At 65.8% G+C, this 22,453-nt stretch overlaps 2 protein-coding genes and 1 long non-coding RNA gene across 35 annotated transcripts, besides 8 other annotated features; 1 reads left to right on the top strand and 2 right to left on the bottom strand.

The window, feature by feature from the left end:
* Positions 1 to 426: 426 nt before the first annotated feature.
* MMP23B (matrix metallopeptidase 23B) lies at positions 427 to 2,908 on the bottom strand. 3 transcript variants are annotated; one of them, XM_047432838.1, is made up of 8 exons: positions 2,707 to 2,908; positions 2,168 to 2,298; positions 1,961 to 2,100; positions 1,726 to 1,893; positions 1,169 to 1,333; positions 982 to 1,092; positions 749 to 879; positions 427 to 630 (listed from the first exon to the last, which is right to left on the bottom strand). In XM_047432838.1, the coding sequence occupies exons 1-7, from the start codon at positions 2,860 to 2,862 to the stop codon at positions 752 to 754; spliced, it is 999 nt and encodes a 332-aa protein (XP_047288794.1). In that variant the 5' UTR covers positions 2,863 to 2,908; the 3' UTR covers positions 427 to 630; positions 749 to 751. The 3 variants fall into 3 exon arrangements, with proteins under 3 accessions (XP_047288794.1, NP_008914.1, XP_047288793.1); NM_006983.2 differs by having other exon boundaries at positions 753 to 879; XM_047432837.1 differs by having other exon boundaries at positions 756 to 879.
* Positions 1,390 to 2,201: an enhancer, noted in NCBI's record as "H3K27ac-H3K4me1 hESC enhancer chr1:1568259-1569070 (GRCh37/hg19 assembly coordinates)". NCBI's record gives its function as "activates a minimal SCP1, AML or CMV promoter by ChIP-STARR-seq in naive and primed H9 embryonic stem cells {active_cell/tissue: H9 hESC(naive and primed)}" and the evidence as "EXISTENCE:reporter gene assay evidence [ECO:0000049][PMID:30033119]".
* On the top strand, positions 3,295 to 10,324 carry LOC124903821 (uncharacterized). The gene is made up of 3 exons (XR_007065352.1): positions 3,295 to 3,436; positions 4,506 to 9,431; positions 9,704 to 10,324. It is a non-coding gene; the product is annotated as an uncharacterized LOC124903821 (long non-coding RNA).
* Positions 4,302 to 4,865: an enhancer, noted in NCBI's record as "H3K27ac-H3K4me1 hESC enhancer chr1:1565596-1566158 (GRCh37/hg19 assembly coordinates)". NCBI's record gives its function as "activates a minimal SCP1, AML or CMV promoter by ChIP-STARR-seq in primed H9 embryonic stem cells {active_cell/tissue: H9 hESC(primed)}" and the evidence as "EXISTENCE:reporter gene assay evidence [ECO:0000049][PMID:30033119]".
* Positions 4,355 to 4,504: a silencer, noted in NCBI's record as "silent region_86". NCBI's record gives its function as "represses an Ori minimal core promoter by ATAC-STARR-seq in GM12878 lymphoblastoid cells {active_cell/tissue: GM12878}" and the evidence as "EXISTENCE:reporter gene assay evidence [ECO:0000049][PMID:35858748]".
* On the bottom strand, positions 4,476 to 21,350 carry MIB2 (MIB E3 ubiquitin protein ligase 2). 31 transcript variants are annotated; one of them, XM_047446594.1, is made up of 21 exons: positions 18,999 to 21,350; positions 18,467 to 18,573; positions 11,402 to 11,692; positions 11,136 to 11,307; positions 10,180 to 10,286; positions 9,896 to 10,090; positions 9,653 to 9,795; positions 9,428 to 9,535; positions 9,110 to 9,172; positions 8,327 to 8,431; positions 8,082 to 8,244; positions 7,874 to 8,007; positions 7,637 to 7,785; positions 7,252 to 7,408; positions 6,902 to 7,062; positions 6,682 to 6,808; positions 6,359 to 6,592; positions 5,770 to 6,047; positions 5,515 to 5,696; positions 5,377 to 5,442; positions 4,476 to 4,789 (listed from the first exon to the last, which is right to left on the bottom strand). In XM_047446594.1, the coding sequence occupies exons 1-21, from the start codon at positions 19,619 to 19,621 to the stop codon at positions 4,551 to 4,553; spliced, it is 3,804 nt and encodes a 1,267-aa protein (XP_047302550.1). In that variant the 5' UTR covers positions 19,622 to 21,350; the 3' UTR covers positions 4,476 to 4,550. The 31 variants fall into 31 exon arrangements, 29 of the variants coding, with proteins under 29 accessions (XP_047302550.1, XP_047302687.1, XP_047302693.1 ...); XM_047446731.1 differs by having other exon boundaries at positions 11,382 to 11,692; positions 19,448 to 19,581; XM_047446737.1 differs by having other exon boundaries at positions 5,770 to 5,948; positions 11,382 to 11,692; positions 19,448 to 19,581.
* Positions 4,605 to 4,854: a silencer, noted in NCBI's record as "silent region_85". NCBI's record gives its function as "represses an Ori minimal core promoter by ATAC-STARR-seq in GM12878 lymphoblastoid cells {active_cell/tissue: GM12878}" and the evidence as "EXISTENCE:reporter gene assay evidence [ECO:0000049][PMID:35858748]".
* Positions 6,275 to 6,374: an enhancer, noted in NCBI's record as "active region_27". NCBI's record gives its function as "activates an Ori minimal core promoter by ATAC-STARR-seq in GM12878 lymphoblastoid cells {active_cell/tissue: GM12878}" and the evidence as "EXISTENCE:reporter gene assay evidence [ECO:0000049][PMID:35858748]".
* Positions 18,647 to 18,736: a silencer, noted in NCBI's record as "silent region_84". NCBI's record gives its function as "represses an Ori minimal core promoter by ATAC-STARR-seq in GM12878 lymphoblastoid cells {active_cell/tissue: GM12878}" and the evidence as "EXISTENCE:reporter gene assay evidence [ECO:0000049][PMID:35858748]".
* Positions 18,767 to 19,816: a silencer, noted in NCBI's record as "silent region_83". NCBI's record gives its function as "represses an Ori minimal core promoter by ATAC-STARR-seq in GM12878 lymphoblastoid cells {active_cell/tissue: GM12878}" and the evidence as "EXISTENCE:reporter gene assay evidence [ECO:0000049][PMID:35858748]".
* Positions 19,917 to 20,086: an enhancer, noted in NCBI's record as "active region_26". NCBI's record gives its function as "activates an Ori minimal core promoter by ATAC-STARR-seq in GM12878 lymphoblastoid cells {active_cell/tissue: GM12878}" and the evidence as "EXISTENCE:reporter gene assay evidence [ECO:0000049][PMID:35858748]".

Below are 22,453 nucleotides of genomic sequence, written 5' to 3'. Positions count from 1 at the left end.
CTCCTACCTCCTGGGGGGCCTCCACTCTGGCAAGGTGGTCCCCCACCCTGTGCCAGTCCTCCCAGCCCCCACCCACATCTCCTTGCAGAAGATCCTGGAGGCCCATCCCAGCCACATCTTTCAGGAAGCCCCCTTTGCCTCCCTCCCCCAGCTCTGAGCAAGTCCTAGACAGAACCCAGGCTTCTGGGGCTACCCCAGGTGCTGCTCCACGTGCTGCCCCTGTCACTGGGGCCTCCGCTTATCCCACTTTCCCAGGGGCCACCTTAGCAAAGCCCGTCCCGTCCTGTGCTGTACCTGTTGTCCGCTGTGCGGGGAAGCAGGGGTGCCCAGCCCCGAGGACGCCCAGCTCTCGGTGGACCAGGGGCTGGGGTGTCCACCTGCCCAGACTGGCTGCCCGCTGCCCTCCCAAGAATGAGCGAGGAGCCATCAGAGAGAAAGTGCTTTATCAGCCGGGCTCAGCCCCGCACACGGACTCGCCAGGAGTAGGTGGTCAGCACGCGCTGCTGGCGGCGCACCACGCAGGTGTAGGTGCCCTCATTGACGGCGTTGGCGATGATGCTCAGGTGCGCCTCGCCCAGGGCCAGGTAGCCGGGGTAGGAGAACTCCAGGGGCTCCTGGTCCTTGTACCAGCTGCAGGGGGGCGGGGCGTCTCCTGCAGGCACAGCCCCCCCCCCGGCTGCCTGCCCCGCACCCCTGCCCCAAGGCCGCCCGCGGGCTGCCCACCCCGAGGACCGCCCGGGGCGCTCACTCACTACACTTTCCCTTTCTTGTGGAGGATCTTCTGGCCGCAGCGGAAGGTCACGTTCCTGCCCTCGGGCACCAGCCTGGTTTTGGTCCTGGGGGGCGGTGGGGTGGTGGCCACCGTGGGGAAGGGGAATTCTGCTCCGGGTGGGGGAAAGAGCCCCGTCAGTGCCCCCTCAGCCCCGACCATGGCCAAGGCCCAGCTCCCACGCAGCCCTGTCCCGGCCCCGTGGGCATCACCGTAGCAGAAGTCGCAGCTGCTGGGGCAGAGCCTCTTCATGAGCCGCCGGCGAGCGTCGCAGAAGCCCCTCCGCGCCCAGGACGCGCACACGAACAGCCTGTCGAGGCATCCTATCGGGAGCGTGGGGAGCACGGCCTGGCTCAGGACCGCCCGGTCCCCGCCCTCCCGCCCGACAAAGGGACTCACCGTAGAGCCGGTGCAGCCCCCACAGCTCGTCCTGGGACAACGCCTTCCAGCCGCGCAGCGTGGCGTTCAGGTGCATGAGCGCCCGGCCGTGTTGTGAGTGCATCAGGCCCAGCGCGTGGCCGATCTCGTGGGCCGCCACGTGCACCAGGTCCGTGAGCCACACGCCTGCGGGCCCCGGGGGTCAGCGCCTGGGAGCCCCGGGCCCAGCCCCGCCGCCCGTGGGCCAGCTCCCCGAGGCCCGGTGTATCTGCTGGAGCGCAGCCGCGGAGCCGCCCTCGGCCGCAGCCACGGAAAGATAAGAATGTTCTGGGCCCAGGCGGTGAGCTCGGCCCCCAGGAATGCAGCTCCAGCTCCCGCTCCAGAGGCGCAGGGGGATGGGAAAGGGAGTTCAGGGCTGCCGGGATGGGGGCTCCCACGGGCTCCCCTCCTTGCCTGCTAGACTCCAGTGGCAGCCACCACCCCGGAAGGTCCCTCCTGCCGTCTGCCCCAAAGCCCGACCGCGGCAGCCCACTGTGCTGCAGAGGAGAGGCCTCCAGGAGGCCAGCCTGGACGGTCACCTTTCTTCCAGCTGTAGCGCGTGGGGCCCAGGACCCAGTACTCGCTGTCGTCGAAGTGGATGCCGCCGTGCGGGGGGAAGAAGGCGTGGGCCAGCTCCCCCGTGGGGCCGTCGAAGCAGTGGTGCAGCGCGGAGACCAGGCAGTCCGTGTGGTTGATCGGGTAGAAGCCTGGGGGGAGCACGGGGCTGAGAGGCCGGGCGCGCAGGGCCGGGCCGGGGCGGGGGCGGGCGCCCACCTATCCGGAGGTCGCTGGGCTGCTCGGGGGCCACCTCGCGGAAGCTGAAGGGGGACACGTCGCTCCACATGCGGAAGGCGGCAGCTAGGGCCCGCCGCGTCTCCCGCGGGCTCAGCAGGTTCCGCGGGAAGGAGAGGATCCTGCAGGGAGAGTGAGCTCAGCGGGCGCCGGCCGCGCCCCCTCCCCCGGGGCCCAGCCAGGGCGCACCTGTAGGTGAGGTTGAAGTGGTCCCAGCGCAGCCTGGCTGGAGTCAGCGTGTAGCGGCGTCTGCGGGGGGCCAGTGGGCCCGGGACCCGGGTGGGGGGGACCGCCGAGAGGCCCAGCGCAGCGACGTCTCCCTTCAGGGAAGAAAGCGTGCGTGGGAGGCATCGGTGACGGTCCCCAGGACCAAAAACTGCCGCGGAAAATGGACTGGAAGGAAACGGGGGTGGGGGTGCCCAGGGCTGGGAGCGGGCGTGGCGGGTCCTGTCTGCCTGTGGTTTCGGGTCTCCTAACCTGAGCGCCCTGTTGCACGTCCCTGGGAACGCGGCCCAGTGGAGGGGAAGGGGCTGAACAGCAGGGCGAGGCCTCCCACCCCTCCCAACAACTGGACACAGGGGCGTCCAACCCTCCGACCTCGGGACGCACATCCGGACCCTCAAACACCCCGCACACCCCGCACACGTCCTGCGGGCCCCCCGATAGACCAGACCCACAGACGTGAGGACCCCCCCAACCCGGCACCTGGCCTCCCCCCCGCCGCTCACCTGCGCTGCGCTCCAGGCCGGCACCGCCGGGGCCCCCAGCCGGGCCAGCAGCACCAGCGCGGGGAGGAGGCACAGGGCGACCAGCGCGGCTCCAAGCCAGCGGCGCTCGACGCCTGCCCCCGGGGCCTCCGAGGGGACACGGGCCCCGCGGCCCATGGCAGACTTGCTGTGGGGCTCAGGGCTGCATGGGGCAGCAAGGCGCGGGGGCCCGGGCCGCAGAGCCTCCGGGGAGGATCCGGAGGGGAGGCAGTGGCTCGGCGGCTCGGGTTACAGCCCGGTGTGGTGGGGGGGAGGGAGACGGGGCGGGAGAGGGGGCAAGGCTGCCCCTGAAGGGAACCAGCTGGCCCGTCCGTTGGCCGAGCTGCCTGCTGTCTCCAGCCGGGGGCATGGGGACCCGCGTCCCGTGGGCCAGGGGCAGAGGCCTGGGCATGGCCTGCTGGGCGGGGTCCTCGGAGGGGGGAGCGAAGAGGGCCCCAGGCAGCCCGGGAAGGGCAGCGCCAGGGCTCCCGCTTAGGAAAGGGTAGCAGTGGGGGTCCCCAAGCCCCCACTGCTGGGCAGTGAGTGATCTGGTGGCTTTTTTCCCAAATGGAATCCTCAAAAAACCCCTGAGCCCCACATGAGCGGAGTCTCCATCCTGGCCCAGGCAGCTGAGCTGGGCCGCAGGAGACGCGTCGCTCGCCTGACAGTGTCCCCGAGAGCTGGGAGGGGATGGCCGGATGGGGACGTGGCAGTGAGTATGGGGCGGTGGAGGGGGAGGCGGGGAGGGGGTGCGTGGGTAGGCAAGGGCCGCGGAGGGTGCCAGGTTGCGGGGCGGAGGGAGGGAACTTGCCAGGGTCTCCCGGGGAGCCGGGAAGGGGCGGGCCCTGGCTGCGGGAAGCCCCGTGGAGGGTAGCGCGTGAGGTGGAGGGTGTGTGGCTCCTAAATCCCCGGCTAGGCCCCAGCAAAGGGGAGAGGGAGACGGGAGGGACGGGAAACGGAGCTAAGCGCCGGGCCTGGAGGTCTGGACCGGTCCTGATTGGGGGCGGGGGCGGGGAGCTCGGAGACCCAAAGGTTCGACGGGGCGGCCGGCGTCCAGGCGCGAGCGGCTCTGGGCTGGGACCGAGACCGGGCACCGGCGTCCCGCGGGGCGGGGGTGGGGGATTGGGCAGAGGAGCAGGAGATTCCGAGCCAGACCGGCCTGTGTCTGTCTCGTCCCTCCCCGTTTTCCGCGCCGGCGTCGGGCCCAGGGTGACGGCAGCCCGGCCAACGGGGTCAGCGCCAAGCAGCTGGCGGCGGCCGCGGGCGGTTCTTGGAAAGCGCGAGAGGCTGGGCCTGGCCGCCGTATTTGCTCCGACACCGCCCCCCGCCCCCCCAGCTCGTCACCCCGCCTGCGTGCGCCCGGCCCCCAGACCCTGCCTGGGACGCCCCCCAACTAACTCCCTGCTGGGACGGGACCCCACAGCCCTGGGGAGTGTCGGGCCCCTTGGATCAGAGCGCGAGTCCCCGCGGCCGCCCCCAGGACGGAAGAGCGAGGGGGGCCCGGGGGCAGACACAGGAGTCCCCGCCCCGTCGGACCCGGGCCTGGGGGGCGGGAGGCGGCCGTGCCCGCGCCTGGAGGGTGTCCTGGCCCGAAGGCCGCAGTCCGGGCGGGAGTCTGGACCCGAGAGCCTGGGGCGGGCGGGGCGGACCCAGGGAAGGGCCCCCCCCCCCTCGCCCCCAGGCTCGCCCGCGTGTCCCGAGGGGAGGACCCCAGAGGCGCCCGGTCCCCCAGGCAGACAGCAGAGGCAACGTCCGAGAATCTTTCTTTTTATAAAACACAGGGCGGGGGCACGCGAAGGCAGCTCGGGCGCGGCGGACGGCGCGGCTCACACGAAGATCTGGATGCGGTCGCGGATGGGCTGGCGGCAGATGGGGCAGGCGCTGAGCGCGGAGCCGCAGGGGGCGCATGCGCCGTGGCCGCACTGGAACACGAGGCGGATGTGGCTGTCGATGCAGATGGGGCAGGTGATGCGTTCCTCCATCTGCCGGTAGCGGCTCTGCAGCTCCTCCACCAGCTGGCGCGGCGGGCCGGGGGCGGGGGCGGCGCTCGCCACCTCAGAGCCGTCTGCGGGGTGGGGGACGGGTGTGAGCTGGGAGGCCGGGTGGGGGAATGCGGGGAGCAGGGAGCTGCGGGGGGGCGAGGCTGGGGGCGGGGTGTCACCTGGGACGGGTTGTGACCTGCAAGGGGGGCTGGCGGGGTGGGTGATTTGGAGGCAGAGGTGGGGCCCGGGTGCGGGCAGGAGGTGAGCCGTGGAAATCAGGCATAAGGTGGTGTGCGGGCTGGAGTCAGGGCTGCAGGTGGGCTGTGAGCTGGGCCGGGGTGTGATGGGGGGGCGGTGCTCTGGGTGGGCTGTGATCTGGGGTGGGGCTATGGAGGGAGTGTGATCTGGGAGGGGCCGTGAAATCCAGCGGGGCTGGGGTGTGATGGGGGAGGAGGGTGTTACCTTGAGGCGGGGCTGTGGGCCGGGTGTGATCTGGAGCAGGCGGGGCTGGGGGCTGGGGGCTGGGGGGCCGGGTGTGAGCCTTGGGAGGGCGGGGTGTAACCTGGGGAAGGGCCATGGGCGGAAGTGTGGGAGGGAAGGGGTGGGGGACGGGGACCCGCGGGCCACCAGCTGAGCAGGAGGCGTGTTGGGGGCGCAGAGCCTCACCCACCTGGGCGCAGTTTCTTGCTGACGACCACCTGGCACCTGATGCACTTCTTCATCCTGCGCGCGCACTCTGCGAAGAGGAGAGCGCGGTTGGCTGCGGCCCTACTAGCCGGGCCTCCCCACCCCGGGGCCCCCCACTCACCCTCACACACGGTGCGGTGCTGGCACGGCGAGAACAGCACCAGCAGCGCCAGCTCGGAGCACACCAGGCACTCAGCGGCCTCGGGCCCCGGCGCGGCGCCCACGTGCAGGTTCGTCACGGTGTTGGGGGTCCCGAGCGTTTGCCTGGGGCCCGGGGCCGCGCCCCCGCCCGCCTGCCGCTCCCTGCAGGGGGAGGAGGCGGCTTGAGAGGGGCCCGGAGGCCGCCGGACCCCATCCCCGCCGTCCACGGACTCACCGGAAGCGCTGGGCGCAGCCCTGAAGGGCCTTGAGCACGCGACCCTCGGCGGCCAGGTCCAGCGGGCTCCGACCGCGGTGGTTGGTGTAGCTCACGTCGGCGCCCTCCAGCGCCAGGAAGCAGGCGACCGCCGCGCCCACCGTCAGCTCCGCGCTGCCGGGGAGGCCCGAGGCCTGTAGCTGGGCGGCAGGACAGACGCCGGTGAGGGCGGGCGCCGGGGCAGGCCCGAGGGAGGCGTCTCCTGGCACCTGGCAGCCCCAGCAGCCGGCGCCCCATGTCTAAAATACAAGGCAAGGGCACCTCTTCCGGAACCCAAGTGGGACAGGCAGGAGGGGCGCCCTGCTAGGTGAGCTCTGAGACCCTAAGCTCCACCTCTCCCCATCCCATGGGCACCACCCCTTTCCCAGGCTGCCTAGGGGTGCAGGCTGAAGGATCACATAGAACTTGGCTCCCATCTGCTCCACCCCCAGAACGCCTGGCTCCCTGGGCCATCACTGGAGGGGAAGGTGGACAGTGGCACAGGCCCTGCCCAGAGCCTGCTGCCGGCGCCACCGCAGCCTCTCCAGCACCCCACGCCACACTTCCTCACCCTGGACAGCAGCTGCAAGGGCCCTGGGTCCCCCCCGGCCCCATCAGCCACCAGGGGCAGCAGCTGATGACGCTGCAGCGCCACGTGCAGGGCTGTGTCCCCCTCCTCGTCCTCGGCGTTGACACTGCACCCAGCGTCCACCAGTAGCGGCACCAGCCCCACGTGGGCCTGTTGCACGGCGAGATGCAGCGGGGACTGCAGCTTCCGGTTGCGCACGTTCACGTCACAGCGGCCCTGGGGAGGGGTGGGGACGGGCTCAGCCCAGGGACCCCAGTGGGCCTCCCGCTCCCCGGTCCTTGGGCAGGACTGGGCCGCGTCCGCACCTCCCGGATGAGGATCTGGGCCACCTCGCGGTGGTTGTTGAGGGCAGCCAGATGCAGCGCCGTGAAGCCGTCCTCCTTCTTGGCGTCCACCAGCTGCCGCGCCCGAGCCAGAATCTTTCTCACAGCTCTGTGGAGCAGGGAGGTTGGTCTGGGACCTGGGACTGCCCCCAGGCAGCACAGCAAGAGGCCGGCTGCAGCTGTGTGCCCACCCCACACTCACAGCGCGTGACCCTTGAGGGAGGCATGGTGCAGCAGGGTGAAACCCTGGCTGTTGGTGGCGGTAACATCGATGTTTGGCACCTCCGTGAGGACCTCGACAATGCCGCTGGCTCCAGTGCCCGCCGAGATGGCGGAGTGCAGGGGCGTGTCCGAGTGGGCGTCCTGCTGGGGCGGAGTCAGTGGTCACCTGGGGGTGACTTCTGCTTGGGTCAAGAGCCAGGGCACCCAGGGAGCAGCACTCACGGGCAGGGGGCACCCAGGCCAGGGAGCAGCACACATGGGCAGAGGGAACCCAGGCCAGGGACAAGCACTCACGGGCAGGGGGCACCCAGGCCAGGGAGCAGCACTCACGGGCAGGTTGACGTCACAGCCGCGCTCACACAGGGCCCGCACCACCTCCAGGAAGCCCCTCTGCACGGCCACGTGCAGTGCTGTGCTCTGGGTGCTGTTGATGGCGTCCGCCCGGCACCCAGCACTCAGGAGCACCCTGGTGGCCTCGGGCTGGTTCCTGACAGGAGAGGAAGTGGGAGAGGGAGGGCGCCGGGCCCGGTGGCTGGACGCACAGGCTCAGCCCCGCCAGGCCCGACCCCAGGACGCACAGGCTCAGCCCCGCCGGGCCCCTCCCAGGCCTCACCCCAGGACGCACAGGCTCAGCCCCGCCGGCCGGGCCCCTCCCAGGCCTCACCCCAGGACGCACAGGCTCAGCCCCGCCGGCCGGGCCCCTCCCAGGCCTCACCCCAGGGCCGCGTAGTGCAGTGCCGTGTTGCCCTCGTCGTCCGGCAGGTCCACGCCCGCCCTGGCTTGTAGCAGCAGCCGTATCAACTCCACCTGGCCCAGGTAGGCAGCCACTTGCAGAGCGGTCCTGCCTTGGTTCTTGGTGTCCACCTGCCAAGAGTGCCAGCAGGTGAGTCCCTGGCCCTCTGCCCCTCACTCTCAGACTGGCCAGTATGGGAGGACGGGGTCAGGAGCTTGCCTGCTCTGGGCGCCTCCGCAGCAGGTCCAGAGCCCGGGCTGCGTTACCCAGCGCCACCTCCACCACCAGCCTTCCCGGGTGCTCTGGGTCACTCTTCTGGGCCCGAAGCTTGTCCAGGGCCACGCTCAGTGAGCCTGGGGGCAGGGCTGAGGTTAGTGGTGGCCAGGGGCAGCCCCACCTCCCACTGGCCGCCTGAGCTGTGCCGCACTTTTGTTCTCCCGGGCGCGCTCGGCCACGTCCAGGTTGGCATCCTCCTCGGGCCGGTAGGCCACCAGGCAGGAGGGGCTGAAGGTCCACCGCTGACCAGCGACTGCTACACGCAGGTTCCCGTCTCCAAACACTTTCACCACCTTCCCGACGCGGCCCAGGGCCTGCGGGGAGGGGAGGGGGTCACAGCAGGCTGCAGGTGTGGGGGGCAGCGGCGCTAGCGGCGGGGGTGGCAGGGGGACTCACAGGGGCCATGTCGTCCGTCCACTCGCCATGCCCAGCCTGCAGCCGCTTCACTGTGTCAAGGTCGCCGATGACCCGGACCACGTCGCCCACCCAGAAGGAGTGGTGCTGAGCGACAAAGAGGGGCGTGAGGGGCCCCCCAGCTGTGTGTGGCTGCCCAGGCTCATGCAACAGGAGGGCAACCTGCTGAGCTCCACGAGACAGGCAGGCCTGACTCGGCCCCGGCCCCGACCCCGACCCCAGGCACTGCCAGAGGCTCTGGCTGGACGAGAGCCCCAGGTGTCCAAGGCAGCCCTGGGTGTCCCTAGCCCCAGAGCCATGGGAGGAGTGTCCAGGCAGACAGAAGCCAGCTCTGGGCAGGTGTGAAGCCGAGGTGGCTGGCCCTGGGAAGCTGTACGCTGACCAGCAGCAGGCAACATGGCCAGGGCCCGTGAGCCAGCGTGGGGGTGGGGCCCCAGGACCATGGGGTGCAGGACGGGCCCACTCTGCCCCACCTGAGCCCTCATATGCAGGGAACTCACTCTACAAGCCCGTCTCATGACTCCCTTCGGCGCCTCCTCAAAGGTGCCTGGTATCCAGGACCCCAGATCCAGAGCTGAGCTCTGACGCTTTGCCCCGGGCCTGCCCCTCCCAGGGCCATCCAAGCTGCCACCGCCACCACCTCCAGCCCCCTCCCTGCCATCCTGCTTCCCAGGCAGCCCTCACTACCTCCCCCACCACTCTAGGCCAAGCATCCACCTCCCTGTCCTAACCAGCCACCCCCATCGGCCCCCATACAGCACTAACCAGGAGCATCTTAGCCCAGCCGCCTCCCTCCCGCCCACGAAGCTGTCCTGCCTTCCTGGTGTCCTGGAACAGAGGGAGGCCCTAACCTGCCCATTCCAGCTCCCAGAGACATACCCTCCTCTGGGTTCCTTCACACCCAACCCCCTCTTCTCCTTGACCCCACCCACCTCCACCCACCAGTCCCTCCCCTTCCTTCAGGGCTGGGGACTCGTGGGTGCAGCTGGCACCCTAGTCCTGCCTGACCCCCCAAGGCCAAGGGGGTACGTGGAAGGGGTTACAGAAGCAAGCAGATGAGGCGCAGCCCAGCCCCCCCGGCACCTTGGTGAGCGCCCCGGGGTGGAAGGTCCAGCGCGTCTCGTGGTTGAACTGCACGCGCACGTCCCCGCGGTCCGTGATACGATGCACGGTGCCCGTCTGTCCGATAAACTGTGGCGGGTCATGGAGCTGTGGCTGGGTCGGGCTGGACGCTTGGGGAGGAAGGGGCTGAGGGGGCGGAGGGCTGGGAGGGCAGGGCACACAGGGCTCCACGGCGGGGCGGCTCACCTCCGCCATCCTGGGGTTCCAGCCGCCGTGGCCTTCCTGCATCTCCCGCAGGACATCAGTGTCCAGCAGACACTTGACCTTGTCCCCGTGCTGGAAGGGCTGGCTGTCAGCACTCACCCTGCGCTGCAGCTCCGCCGGCTTGCCTGCGGAGGGTGGCAGACCAGGCCTCAGGCAGCGGCCCCTCCCCTCTGGGACTTCAGCCAAGGCAGGAGGGCTGATGGAGTCAGTGTGACAGCCTCATACCGAGCCTTGGGAGGTGGTCCTTGTAGTAGAAGCCGCCCGCTGCCTCGCCCACACACTTGAGGTCCACCTTGCCCTTGTGGCCCACACGGTACACATTGGTGGTACCATCAGCCCACGTCACGCTGGCCACACTCCGGCCTGTCTCCACATCCCAGCCACGGATGTCCACCACACGGCCCGGTTTCCCTTCCCCTCCTGGGGAAAGAGGCCCCCCCAGCAGGCTAAGGCTGAGCCATGAGCCAGCCACAGCCCAGCCCTGACCCCGCCCCTCTGCCTCCACTCACCATCCTGTGAGCCCCACTCCCAGTCGGGGCCTCGCACCACCTTCGCTCCCTGGAAGATGCCCCTTAGTGGGATCCTCGGGAGGCCCTGGCGGGGACTCAGTGTGACACTGCAAGAGGGTTCACAAATAAAGCTCTCAGAAGAAAACCGCCATCTCTTCCCATCTTGAGCCACTTGGGAGAGCGATGCAGTGGAGCAGGCCCCCTGTCCACCCAGCCTGCTGGGCTCCGCAGCCCCAGCTCTTGCCCGGGAATGGCCGGTCCAGCAGGTCAGCATCCTCCACACGCTGTGAGGAAATGCCCCTGGGCTCAGGGGCCTGGAGCGAACCTGCGGACCACGTTCCTCCAGGGACTTCCCTGATGCCAGGCTGGGAAGGCACCCGGGCCCACCCTCGGCAAGACCTCTGGGTGCGGTCGCTTCATGCCTGCTGCCTCCCAGTGAGCTGGGGCACAGCCAGGCCCAGAGGTGGGCTCAGCATGTGGGAAGGGAGGAATGAGGAAAGCAGGCCTGGCCAACAGCACTCCCAAGACAACCACACCTCCCTCCACGTGCAGGGAGGGCCAGAGACAAAGGTGACAAATGCAGGGGACGGGGTGGCACCTCTGGCTGTCCTTGCCCCAAGCAGGCTAGATTCTCCCCGAGCTGATGCCCTCGGACCAGAGCGCAGCAGCCTCCAAGACAGCCCAGGTGCTGGCTCCGGGTATGGGCTGTCCTCCTGGAGGTCTCATGCCGCCCTGGGGGATGCTGGCTGCCTGATGGCCACTGCTGCCTGTAGAGCCACCCAGAGGCCACCCTCTGTGCCCTGCCCATGGCACCACTGCTTAAGGCCACGGCTCTGGAGAGACTTGCTCCGTCTTCCTGGGAGCGGTCAGGAGGCAGCACCCTCCCCGAAGGCCAAGGCCCCAGTGGCAAGGCCTGGGTACCCGCCGCACAGGAGCCGGTGCGGCCCGGGACTCACGGGCGCGAGTGAGCGGTCTCGTAGCGGTCGAAGGCGTGGGCGAGCTCATGCTTGTTGTGCATGTAGCACTGCGTGCAGAGGTCGTAGTCCAGGCACACACGGCACTTCCAGCGCATCCCCCGCAGCCCGTGCTTCTTGCAGCAGTCACAGATGATGTTGGGGTGCCGGACGCCTGGGGGTGGGGTGGGGTCAGAGGGGCGTTCCCGCCCCCGGGTCCTGCCCGTCCCGCCTGCCCTTGGCGCGCACCGATCTGGGCGTTGTCGTACAGCAGCAGGTCGTGCGCGCCCTGGTAGCCGGCGCGGTAGTTGGTGCGCGTGCCCTGGTCCCACTGCACGACCACTGTGCGGTCGGGTGTCGAGGGGCTGCCGTGGCGGCCAAGCTCCACCACCGTGCCCACGCCGCCCTCGCCGCCGTCCTGCTGGCCCCACTTCCAGTCCACGCCGCGCACCACCCGCATGCCCACCTGCACGCCCGCCTGGGGGTCTGGGTCCATGTTGGGCGGGGCTGCTCGGGACCTGTGGGCAGAGGGGTCCATGGTGGGCCGGGCTGCTCGGGACCTGTGGGCAGAGGGTATTCTCAGGCCACCATGGGACACTCCCGGTCAGAGTGGGCTCCGCGGGAGAGCAGAGAGGCCCAACGGGGCAGGCAGGCTGGTTCAAGCCCTAGGGCCCAAGGAGGCCCGCAGTCTGGCACCAGGGAGGCCGGTGGGAAAGGCGGGCGCCGTGCCAGCCTGGCGCGGGAACTGCAGGGTGGTCTGGGCCCAGGGATCAGGGAGCCTGGCCCCGGGGGCTTCATGAAAGGTTCACAAATAACGCTCTCGGAAGAAAACCACCATCTCTTCCCACAGCCAATTAATGAGCTGGACACTGGACTTCACTAAAGTAAGAGCTGCCGTCCCCCGAGACACTCACATGGTTGGACGGGCAGTGGCAAGTGAGCAGACACCGTGACACGCGTCCCTCAGAGGACTCGTGTCCACACAGGGCGAGGAACTCCTATGATCCACACGAAAACGTCAGACAACCCAACAGAAAAACGGCAAACACGATGCAGGCGCCGTACAAGACCAGCAGGCATCGGCCAGCGGGACCAGGAGGCATCTGTCCCCAGACACTGCTCCTGGGGGACACCAGCTTTGGGCCCTGCACGTCAGGGACAGTGCAGCGAGGCCACACAGCACCACAGAGCCTTCTCTGGAAAAGTGGCCCTGGCCACGCAAGGCACTCACGACAGAGGCCGGATACTCGAGCAGAGGCAGGTTCCTGGGTCCTCAGTGGCCACGGGGTCCTGAAGCGGGGCTGAGTCCCAACCAAGCAGGGACCCACTCGCCACACAGAGCACAAGCCAGAGCTCACCAGCAGATGGAGGGAAGTAGCCAAGTGCAAACGCCATGCCAGGCGGCTCCGTTTATACAAAGGTGCAAATCCAGGCTGCCGGAGGCAGGGATGGAGTCAGCCACAGGGCTCGAGGCCCAGGACTGCTAATCCCCAGTCTGGGCGCTGACCCCCGAGAGCTCACTCTGCAGACGTGAGTCACCGTGGGCTGCCTCTCTCCACCATGCTGGGCTTCAGCACAGTCTCGTTAACAAGAAGAATGGATGTGAACATTAAGAGGGAAAATCAGAAGGTGGAGGCTACAGCTGGCTGTGATCGCACCACTACACTCCAGCCTGGCGGGGAGGGGAGGGCCACCACTCAATTTTCATTAAACCACTAGGACCCCATGGCCAGGGAAGGAGGCAGCCCAGGAACACTGCCTGAAGCAGAGGTGGGGGACACGGCAGTCCCAGGAGGCTGGAGGGACCCCTGAGACTGGGTGGATGTGGCTGAGGATGGGAGGGGGCCCTGCCAACTCCAGGACACAGGCCAGCCTGGGCCTCACAGGCCAGCCCTCCACCTGGGCAGCACTGCAACCCAGTGCTTTGCATCTCAGGCCAGTTCAGGAGACACCCTGGCCCGGGAGAGGCTGCAGGTGAGCAGTGAGGAGGGGCCACAGCAAAGCCCCCGACTCCTGCTCTGACTCAGGGGCCTGAGCCCCACAGGTTGTCCCCCGAGCAAGGCCCGGTGAGGAGCCCAGCCCCACTCCGGAGACTGAGTCCAGTGCAGAGGCTCTGCCTGCAGGGCTGGGCTCCCGATCCGTGCCCCCGATCCGTGCCCCGGCTGCGAGTTGGAGCACAGGACTCCCTCTAATTCTCAGGGGCACAAACTTCCTGGCCAGCTTGGCCTCTCCAATGCTCCCTCCTCACCCTGCCCAGGACCGCGAGAGCTTCCACAGGAATGGGTGGATGTTTTACAAGCACAGCTCTCCCTGTCAGTGACTAAGAGGAGCCCCCACCCAGCAGCCGGGCTCTGCTTCTTCAGGGAAACCCCACATGGCCTCATCTGTCCAGAGGCCTCACCTGTCGGGTGACGCTGCCTCCCTCACCTGTCGGGTGACGCTGCCGAGATGTGCACCAAGGCCTGGGCCAGGGCAGGCTCCAGCACCGGGGCTTCCTTTTCCTGTGGCACCAGTGAGCCCCAGACAAGGAGAGGGGTCCCGTGGGCAGCTCCACAGCCATCAGGGAAGGCAGCTGGCTCTGCCCTCCCCACGGCCTCCTGCAGCCTCCCGGCTGGGCCTCCGCATGAGCGGCTTCCACAGCCGGCAGCCAGAGAAACCCCACCTTGCCCTCGGAGGCCCCGCGGAGCCAGGAGCCCACCCACCACCCAGGGTGACCCACAGGCCCTCCCCATGGGCCCCTGTGGCACTATTCCCCTCGCGGGGCCTCTGAGGGCAGCCCCCAGGTGGTGCACTGCTGCGTCCTGTTTGGCCAGGACCCCACCAGCTTCAGCTTTGACTGAATGGCTGCATGAATGAAACATAAGAACCAGAGAGAATCTGTGCCAGGCTTCTGTGACAGCGGCAGCCCCTGTGTCCCGAGGACCCGCCCAGCACAGGCCGCTTCTAGCCATCCCAGCGCTGACTGCGCCTCACCCAGAGCATGTCCAGGTGGACACAGTTCCACCGGCCAGCCCAGCTCCATGGCCCCACCTGGGTCATGACACTTGACTCTCCAGATCTCTGCAGACCCTCCCATCCCCACTGGGGGCTGTCTTGGAGGGAGGTCACTCCCTCCTGCCCCAGCAGCTCCCCACTGCCTGCTCTGCCACCAGCTGGGGGGCAGGCTCTGCAGGGTTCCTGCTCCCAGGATCCACAAACTGACCTCAGCTTTTGCCCATGGAGCACCCAAGAAGGGTGAGGCATGGCCTGGGCTGAGCTCCCCCACTCCAGCCTCCTCTACACAGGGACCTTCGCCACAGAATGGCACAGGCCGGGGAGGCCGACGCAGCAGTCTGCTGGCGGGGGGACAAGTGAGAGGGGCACTGCTCCTTAGGGTTGCAGACCCCACCCCCTGCCAGGCCGTCCACCTCCACCAGATCCACACGCAACCTCCTCCTTGCCAGGATCCCACCAGAATCGGCCACAGCTGGAATCACACTAAGCCGGGGACTCCTCCCTGCCAAACACCTCCACTTAGCCAGAGCAGGGCTCATCACAGGCAGCCGCAGAACCGACTGGAGGTCTTTGCTAGTAGGGGACACGCATCTGCCGACCCCCGAGATGGGCCCGGCAATGGAGATGAAGGACTTGGGACCGCAAAAAAGCCAATGCCATGAGCCCACACTGTGATCCTTCTGCAGCAGGGGGCGCCTTCTGTCTCTGCGCCCAGACTCTCAGCCACAGCCAGCTTAGCCCAGGCCAGCGGCCACACCTGCCCGACCCGCTGGCCATATGCCATTGGACCTTTCCAAAAAGACAGGGGCAGGGTGCCCCATGTGTGAGCCAATGTGTCCTGTGCTTTGGCAAATCTTGCCCTTGGGGGGATGGGCAGAGGGCAGAGATGTCGGGGAGGTCACCAGCAGGGCCTCTGGGAATCAAGACCAAGCCTTGGCGGCCCCCGCGTCACAGGGGCAGTGGGGTGGAGTGCCAAGGCCATCAGCCTGAGACAGGGTAGCCTGTGCCCCAGACTGGCACCTGTCTGCAGCATGCCCGGTATTTTTAGCACAGCCAGGCAGCTCTCCAGCCCTGGCCCACAAACCCCCACCCTCCCAGAGGCTGTCCCTCATGGAAGCCCACCTGAGTTGGGGCACAACTGGGCTGAACACAGGCAGGGCTTCCTCCCTGGCCTCACTTCTTGTGCCTGGAACCAGCCCCCCACTTGCTGAGGGCTGCCCCAACAAGGGGGACGAGCCTGGACAGGGGAGCTGGGTGCGCCCACCCACTCCCACCTCTCCCCGGGGGCTGGGATGTGAGCACACAGGGGCCTGTAGACCCGGCGCCTCCTCAAGGCCTCCCCTGCAGGGCCCCCACCCCAAGGGTCTGGGGTCTGTCCCACTTCCAAGGCAGTCCCTTCTGTCCAGCATGGCACTGCCCTGGAGTGGCCGCCTCATCTGAGCGGGGTCTCCAGCCATGCCTGCCCGCCTGCCAACCCTTCTGCGGTGCCAGTGTGCAGACAGACCACATGCGCGTGGATCCCAGGCTCAGGAGCTCAGTATCCTGGACCCTCTGGAGGGGCCAGCAGTTTTGGTTTTTTTGAGACGTAATCTCGCTCTGTCGCCCAGGCTGGAGCGCAGTGGCGCAATCTCAGCTCACTGCAAGCTCCGCCTCCCAAGTTCACGCCATTCTCCTACCTCAGCCTCCCGAGTAGCTGGGACTACAGGCGTCTGCCACCACACCTGGCTCATTTTTTCTATTTTTTAGTAGAGACGGGGGTTTCACCGTGTTAGCCAGGATGGTCTCGATCTCCTGACCTCGTGATCCGCCCGCCTCGGCCTCCCAAAGTGCTGGGATTCCAGGTGTGAGCCACTGTGCCCGGCCGCCAGCAGCTTTTGAGGCTCTGCCGCCTTTCTCCTCAGCTCCTTCCTGCAGCTGCCTGCCTGGCTTTCTCACCATTGCCCCAGGGCCAGCAGTCACCCAAGACCTGCCACTGGGCTCCTGGCACCCTGGCCCCAGGGCTCAGTACCTGCCTCCGAAGGCCTCTCTAGGGGGTGTTTGTGGTGGGGGCAGGAGGCAGTAATGAGACCCCCACAGGCAGGGAGGAGGGGCACCCCGCCAGGACCCAGCACTTGTATCCCTTGGTCTCTTCTCAAAGGGGACAGAGTGCACCTGCTTAGGGGCGGGAGGATCCAGCCCAGCATCGAGGGGCCTGCCCCATTCCCATTGTTCATGAGAGGTGGGGGCTGTGGGGTCGCACAAGCAGCCTGCCCATGTCAGAGGGAAGCTTGTGGACAAAAGGGCTCATCCCTTGGGCTTCCCTGACCATCCTGTCCTCCTGGGGCCATGGGACAGGTTCTGGGCTGGGTCTGGGTCAAGCTGACCCCGAGGGTACTGGCCACAGGACCCATCCCCTGGGCAGGCCTGGGAGCAGGTGATGTGGGGCTGGCGCTTGGCACACCCGCTGCAGACCTCAGGTGAGGACTTCCTGGAGGCAGGTGAGGAACACCAGATTAGGGGTAGGAGTGGGGTGGGCAGCCTGGAAATCAAGCCCTCTAGGACAGATGTTCCCCCAAGGGCCCCTCACTCCCTCTGCCTCCACCCTGGACCTGTCCAGCATCCATTCCTTCCTGGAGAGCAGGAGGCCTCTGGGTTGCCCCCTCCTATTTTTCTGTTCTACACCCACAAGGCTCCAGGTGCAGAGGAGGGGACCCGTGGGACCTGATCACCCTGATCACCTGCCCACAGCGGGTGAGCTCTGGGCCAGAGGCTGCTATGGGAAGTGCAGATGTCCAAGGCTAGCCCTGCCCTCACACCAACCTGGCCAAGGTTTCCCAGAAAGACAAACCAGAGACAGCCACAGCCACAGCCCAGCACTGGTGGAGGGGCTCCAGGGAGCAGACCAGCAGACCAGAGCTGTGGCCACGCAGCCCCTGGTGTACATCGTGGCGTACATGGCTGTGGCCACTCCTGCTCCTCCTCTTGGAAACATACAGCCCAGGCTTCCGCTTCAGGATGCTGCCCCACAATGGGTATCTTCATCTCAGTCAGAAATTTACTCAGAGAGTTACCAAATGTTTTTTCCTTTGCCAGAAATGCTAGACTTTGCCATCTACCCACAGTTCACAGGCTGTGCCCCTGGCTGGCATCTGAACCCCGCTGCAGGCAACTGCTCCCGATGTTTAAAATGATGGAGGCAGTCAGGGTGTGAAGACTCGGGCGACAGATCGACAGATGTGCTTTGGCAAATCGGAACTTACCTCAGAGCACACACCAGCCTCGAGGCAGCGTCCCAGGCATTTAATTGCTACTTCCTGGGTCACAGATTCGCTCGGCTACCAGGCTTTCCTGTTGGAAGCTAAAGCCACTGGAGACACAACACAGCAAACCAGACGGGCAGCCAGCAAGCCAGGCTGGAGAAAATGGTTTCTAAAGGCAGTGTCACACATTTAGCATTTACCGTCTTAACCACGCAAGCAGACACCGGGTCTGTTCTATTGCTGCTTAGTTTCTCTTTTTCACAAGAAACTGCAAGCTCTCAGAGGGCAGGAGGACTTCCGAACCATCAGTCAGGAGAGTGTAGGAGGAGAGAGTTCCCTTATTGCAAGTATTTTATCGGAGAAGCTTTAAAAGCCATAGAAACCAAATCCTATTTAGCGAGAAAGTTAGCAAATTGCCTTTATTCAGAAGAAGCAAGTTACATGGAACTGGACATGAGGCTGCCCTCCTCCTTGCACCTCCAGCTGTGCCTAATGACACCGAAATGCCGCTGTGTGTGGCACGCCACAGGCCATGGAGTAGCTCCAGCTAACGCAGATGGACATCCCAGGTGCCCCAGGGAGATCAGGCCCACGGAGTGGGATGAAGCCCTGAGGCGGGGAGGCCAGCATGGAGACACCTGCTGAGGGAAAGCCCACGAGCGCTGCGGCCACCTCCAATCCTGCCCATCTGGGTGGAGACCTACAGGCACCCTGCAGGCTGGGGTGTCATCCCACTCACCGCCCAGGGCTGCCCTCGGCCAGGAGAGCGCCACATTCAGACACTTGTTGCATGTGAGGCAACAGGCCAGGGTGGAACCGGACAAAGGGGGCCTCCCGGGAAGGGCCAGGCTTGCCGGCGCTCCTGCGCTGCGGCCGCTCTGCCCCAATCCTGCAGGTGCCTATCAGAGGCCTGTCTGGCACCTCTGCTTTCTTCCTCCATGGGTTCCGAACTCAGAGAGGAGACGCGGGATTACTCACCACTCCCCTCCACTCGCATGCATGCTCAGACACAAACACAGCCTCTCTGACGTGGCTTCCACGGAGCCCCAAAGTGGGAGAGCCAAGTGCAAACTATCAGGCCGCGGACGATCAAGAGCTCACCTGTCCGGCCGTCCAGTCGCCCGCCGGGCCGCCTTGAGGCTCCTGGGCTGCAGCCCTGATGCCTGGAAACTTTGGGACTGGCCTCTAGCCTCGCTGGGCTTCCAACCCTGTGGCCGAGGGGAGATGCCAAGATGCACAGTTAGCACCTCGACCCGCGGCTCGGTCGCCTGTCTGCCCCCGGGGCTGCCCGCCGGCTCCAGGTCCACTCGGGCCCACGGCCGCGACACTCAGGGCCGCCGCCTGCCCGGATGGGCTCCCTGGGGTCTGAGCGCGCAGGAGCCGCCAGCGCCGGGCCCGTAATTGCGTGCGCCCGGGGTCTGGCGGCCGCGGCTCGCAGACGTCAGGAGGCTCCGGGACGCGCACGGGCGCCGGCGCAGGGGAACGGGCGGGCCAGGGGCGGGCACGGCGGGCACCCCCACCCGGAGCGCGCCCCGCCCCCTGTCATTCGTGCCCGTGGCTCGCGGAGGCCGCCCGGCCCTGTCCGCTGCCAGACCTTGCCAGGGCCGCGCAGTACCTGCCGACCCCAACTTGCCCGGACGTTTCCGTCCCGCCCGCTCCGCTCGGGGGCGCGGGACCGCCGGCCAGTCCGTCTGTCGGTCTGTCCCGGCGTTCGAGGCCACCCACCGGCCCCGACTGCTCAGCGGCGGCCAGGCCAGGCCAGAGCGCCTGCCGCGCGCCGCAGCCCACCCGGCCCGGACGACGACCCCAGCGCCGACCCCAGCGCCGCTGGCCCCGGGCCGCGCGAGGCCTGCCGGGAGCTGGAGTCCCGCGCGGGTGGCCGGACCACAACTCCCAGGAGGCCCCGCGGCGGCGCTGCGCGCGCAGCCCCAGCCCATCCCGTGCGGACCCTACGCCGAGTCCAGCCCGGGGCTGCTGGGCCAGCGGGAGCGGGAACCGGACGGCGCTCGCGTTCTGCCAGAGCGGAGAACGACTCGGGGACGGTGCGGAGGACCAGGGGAGGAGATCCGCGCCCGCACGCACCATCAGCCGAGAGGACGGCCCGCATCGCGCCAGTGACCTAGGAGCGACTCGGGGACGGCTTCGGGCTCCCAGGCCCTCCTGGGCCACCGGGCACTGAGGAGAGCGGCGGCTGGAAACTGTGGGACCCGAAGGGCGGGAGCCCAGGGCCCGCCCCCGCCGGAGCGCCCCCGCCATGGCCACGCCCCCGCCACGGGGATGGGCAGGGCAAGCACCGGAAGTGCGTCACGCGGGAGCGTCTGCGTCGCCTACCCTGCGTGGCGCAGCTAGGTTCCGAGCGGCTTAGCCTCCGGGCGCCTGCGCAGTGGCGGTCCTAGAGACGCACTCGGTTGCCATAGAGACGGGGGCTTGGGAGCGACGTCGCGCTCGCTGGCACTGGCGGCACTTGCCGCGCCGCAGCCACCTCTTTCCGACTCCACCAGTGCGGGCCCTATCCGGGGTTTTGAGTCACGCAGACCTGGACACAGCGAGAAACGGCAGTCCGGGCCCGTCCTCCCGCCCCGGGTTCTGCACCCCAGAGTTGGACGCTTGCTTCTCGCTTTCTCCTGAGAGAAGTCTCCGCGTTTCTGAACAATGCACTGCTAGTTTCTCATTTCTTTCTTTCTTTCTTTTTTTTTTTTTGGAGACGGAGCCTCGCCCTGTCGCCCAGGCTGGAGTGCAATGGCGCGATCTCGGCTCATTGCAACCTCCGCCTCCAGGGCTTAAACTATTCTCTTGCTTCAGCCTCCCGAGCAGCTGGGACTACAGGCATGCGCTACCACGCACAGCTAATTTTTGCATTTTTAGTCAAGACGGGGTTTCACCATTTTGGCCAGGCTGATTTCGAACTCCTGACCTCGTGATCTGCCCTCCTAGGGCTCCCAACGTGCTGGGATTATAGGCGTGAGCCACCGCGCCCGGCCTCTCATTTCTTAATTGTAGACATTGCGTACTTCCGGAGAAGGTCCCTGAGAACCTGGCTGATCTTCCCCGCTGCACCCCTCACGTGGTCCTGTTAGCTCCCAAACTGTCAACCTGAAAGGAAACCCAGAGGCAGGCTCTCCAGGACAAGTGAGTTAATCTGGGAATCGCAGGGGGTTGCAGCCTAGGCTGTTCGTGCCATGACAGATCATAGGCCTATCTGAGAGGGCCGGGCGAAGGGGAAAATACAGATGAGCTCACAAAAGTTGTTTTGTAACAAAAACCACTGGCTGTGGGCGCTTGCTGCAGGAGTGGGCGTTAGCTTGTTGTTGGAGAGAGCCTTACCAGGCCGACGTCCTTGTGCAAGCTGCTTATCTAGAATACTGCAGTCCTGAGGAATTTCCCTGCAGTAAGTCCGGTTACAGGCAAACGTGCAGGACGTGCAGGAGCGTCTTGTGAGGAGGCCTGCTGCAGGTATTCCTGCATGAGAGCTCCCCCTTCGTGGCCTCCCGACTCCATTTGTTTAGGGATTGGTGGAAGTAGTTCCATTTTGGTACCTGCAACTTTCACAGCTGTCGTGATGAAATCAGGCTTAGCTCTTCATGATTGAGTACCTGCTGTTCACTGCTACAGTATAAAACCATGCCACAATTCCTGTACAATCTTTTTTTTTCTTTTGAGTTAATAATTACCTAATATTTTCACATATCTAGCTTTTTACTAACCCATGGCCAGCCTTTTTTTCAAGTACCCCAACGTTTTCGCCACATGCCTAACGATACCGTTTTCCAAAGGCTCAAACACATCCGTTGTGTCTAACTGATTCTCCTGTTCCGACCTAGACCGATCACTTCCTGACCCGGCTGCACAGCTCTTATCTCGAGCTTTTCTCTGCTCTCATCCTTGAGACTCACTTTGTCTGTCTCCTTTCTTGGATTCCCTGTGTAAACGAAAAATAAAATCCTAAGCTCTCTACCAACTGTTTTTTGTTTTGTTTTGTATTTGAGACAGGGTCTTGCTCTGTTGCCCAGGCTGGAGTGCAGTGGCACTATCTTGGTTGACTGCAGCCTCTGCTTCCTGGATTCAAGTGATCCTCCCACCTCAGCCTCCTGAGTAGCTAGGACCACAGACATGCACCACCATGCCGGTTATTTTTAAATTTTTAGTAGAGACAGGGTGTCACCATGTTGCCCAGGCTGGTCTCAAACTCCTGGGCTATGCTGTTTGCTCACCTCTGCCTTCTGAAGTGCTGGGATTGGCTGGGTGCGATGGCTTCACGCCTGTAATCCCAGCAGTTTGGGAGGCTGAGGAGGGCAGATCACTTGAGGTCAGGAGTTCATGACCAACCTGACCAACATGGTGAAGCCCTGTCTCTACTAAAAATACAAAAATACAAAAAAAAAAAATATTAGCCAGGCATGGTGGTGCACGCCTGTAGTCCCAGCTACTTGGGAGGCTGAGGCAGGAGAATTGCTTGAGCCCAGGAGGTGGAGGTTGCAGTGAGCTGAGATCGTGACACTGCACTCCAGCCTGGGGAACAGAGCAAGAATCCGTCTCAAAAAAAAAAAAAAAAAAAGCCAGACGCGGTGGCTCATGCCTGCAATCCCAGCACTTTGGGAGGCCAAGGCAGGCAGATCATGAGGTCATAAGATCGAGACCAGCCTGGCCAACATGGTGAAACCCCGTCTCTACTAAAAATACAAAAATTAGCTGGGTGTGGTGGTGGGCACCTGTAATCCCAGCTACTTGGGAGGCTGAGCCAGGAGAATGGCTTGAACCCAGGAATCGGAGGTTACAGTGAGCCAAGATCATGCCACCGTACGCCAGCCTGGTGACAGAGGAAGACTCTGTCTCAAAAAAAAAAAAAAAGAAAAAAAACCAGCCAGGCACAGTGGCTCACGCCTGTAATCCCAACACTTTGTGAGGCCAAGGTGGGAGGATCACCTGTGGCCAGGAGTTGGAGACCAGCCTTGCCAACATGGCAAAACCCCATCTCTACTAAAAATACAAAAATTAGCCGGGCTTGGTGGTGCTCGCCTGTAGTCCCAGCTACTTGGGAGGCTGAGGTGGGAGAATTGCTTGAACCCAGGAGGCAGAGGTTGCAGTGAG

This window comes from Homo sapiens, chromosome 1 (assembly GCF_000001405.40).
Source record: "Homo sapiens chromosome 1, GRCh38.p14 Primary Assembly".
In the NCBI taxonomy this organism is placed as follows: domain Eukaryota; kingdom Metazoa; phylum Chordata; class Mammalia; order Primates; family Hominidae; genus Homo; species Homo sapiens.
The sequence above is the reverse complement of the archived record's forward strand: the minus strand, read 5'-3'. Positions and strand labels throughout refer to the sequence as shown.